Here is a 1,793-nt window from a genome sequence, read left to right on the forward strand (position 1 = left end):
TTGAAGAAAGTAAACAAAATAATTTGAACTGTTGTTTCAGGTAATAAAATAGACTCATGCGGTAAGTCATTTGAGCTGTATGTACAAATGGACTATGACACAGCTAAATTAGTCACAACTGTCCACCACAGGCCAACTTCAAGATAAAGGGCTATATATCAGTTAGCAATGCTCTCTTACAACCAGCCCTGATGTGTTTGTAAGCAGGAAAATAATTTTATGGTTACAATCAACAAAGAAGTATCAGGCCAGTCCACCAAGCCCAGCCAAATCCCATATCTCGCTCCAGTTTTATAGAGATTAGCATATCACATGAGCCAAATGCTGTTCCCCAACTTAGAATGTGATATTGCTATTTTGCAGGGAAAGTGTAAGCCCTGTTCTGCAACACTGATGAAATAGAAGTATTCATAGATCTTGTTTAACGTGGTCCAATAATTGAAACATAAAATAGATATCTTGTAACAGAACATTTTTAAAAGTCAAGAAAGATAAGAATTAGGCCTTGGAAAATAAATGACTATGAAGAAAGATAAAAAGAAAAGAGACTGGGGTGTCTCTGAAGACCCTGCTTAGAGGCCCTGTCCTCCTTGCGGCAAGCGGCCATTGCCATGGAAACCGGAGCCGCAGGGCTATCTGTCCGGGATTGTGACGCCCAGATGGGAGTGGTGAGAGGAGACAGAAAGAGGGTGGTGGCCGATAGCTGGTCCTCTTTCTCCAACACCTAGCCTGAGACTTGGCGGCGCGGCTGCTATCCTGAACTAGCTTGGTAAGTGTTGTGTCCCGAACCAGCGTAGAGAGACCTCGGACCAGCCGCCTTGATGACAGCATCCGCGTCCTCCTTTTCATCATCTCAGGGTGTCCAGCAGCCCTCCATCTACAGCTTCTCCCAAATAACCAGAAGCTTGTTTCTCAGCAATGGTGTGGCCGCCAACGACAAACTCCTTCTGTCCAGCAATCGCATCACCGCCATTGTCAATGCCTCGGTGGAAGTGGTCAACGTATTCTTCGAGGGCATTCAGTACATAAAGGTGCCTGTTACCGATGCTCGTGACTCGCGTCTCTACGACTTTTTTGACCCCATTGCTGATCTTATCCACACCATCGATATGAGGCAGGGCCGTACGCTGCTGCACTGCATGGCTGGAGTGAGCCGTTCCGCCTCACTGTGCCTTGCGTACCTCATGAAATACCACTCCATGTCGCTGCTGGACGCCCATACATGGACCAAGTCGCGCCGCCCCATCATCCGGCCCAACAACGGCTTTTGGGAACAGCTCATCAATTACGAATTCAAGCTGTTTAATAACAACACCGTGCGCATGATCAACTCGCCGGTAGGTAACATCCCTGACATCTATGAGAAGGACCTACGTATGATGATATCAATGTAAGCCATCCCGGCCAGCCCCTGACATCTGCCATCGATCTTGCACCAAGACTGAACTTGAACACTGACATTTTGTTAGTAAAGAAAACCGGATGGTGCCTTGTTAAAGGGCAAGAAAAAAGGGAGGGGGTTGGAGTTTTGAACGTAGTAAGCCTTACCTTAATAGAATTAAATTCATGAAACATAAGATAGTGAAAATATTTTTTATATTGTGAGGTCAAGCTATTGGGGCCTGGCTGGAACCAGGGTGGGGCAAGTAATGCTCAGCTCACATAGACCTGCCAGCAGCACCCAATACATGTGGCAGACCTGGAATCCTGAGCCCTGCCAGAGGCTGACTAACCCAGGAGTGAATCCCCTAGAATCTCACCCGGTTCTTTCCAACCCAAAGTCAAAGCCTTAG

At 46.9% G+C, this 1,793-nt stretch overlaps 1 protein-coding gene across 1 annotated transcript; it reads left to right on the top strand.

The window, feature by feature from the left end:
• On the top strand, window positions 710-1,577 carry DUSP21 (dual specificity phosphatase 21). The gene has a single exon (NM_022076.4). The coding sequence runs from the start codon at window positions 822-824 to the stop codon at window positions 1,392-1,394; it is 573 nt and encodes a 190-aa protein (NP_071359.3). The 5' UTR covers window positions 710-821; the 3' UTR covers window positions 1,395-1,577.

Source organism: Homo sapiens, chromosome X, assembly GCF_000001405.40.
Source record: "Homo sapiens chromosome X, GRCh38.p14 Primary Assembly".
NCBI classification, from domain to species: Eukaryota; Metazoa; Chordata; class Mammalia; order Primates; family Hominidae; genus Homo; species Homo sapiens.

Excerpts from the sequence above, each read along its gene's own strand:
- DUSP21 (NM_022076.4), top strand. The coding sequence starts at position 822 with ATGACAGCATCCGCGTCCTCCTTTTCATCATCTCAGGGTGTCCAGCAG.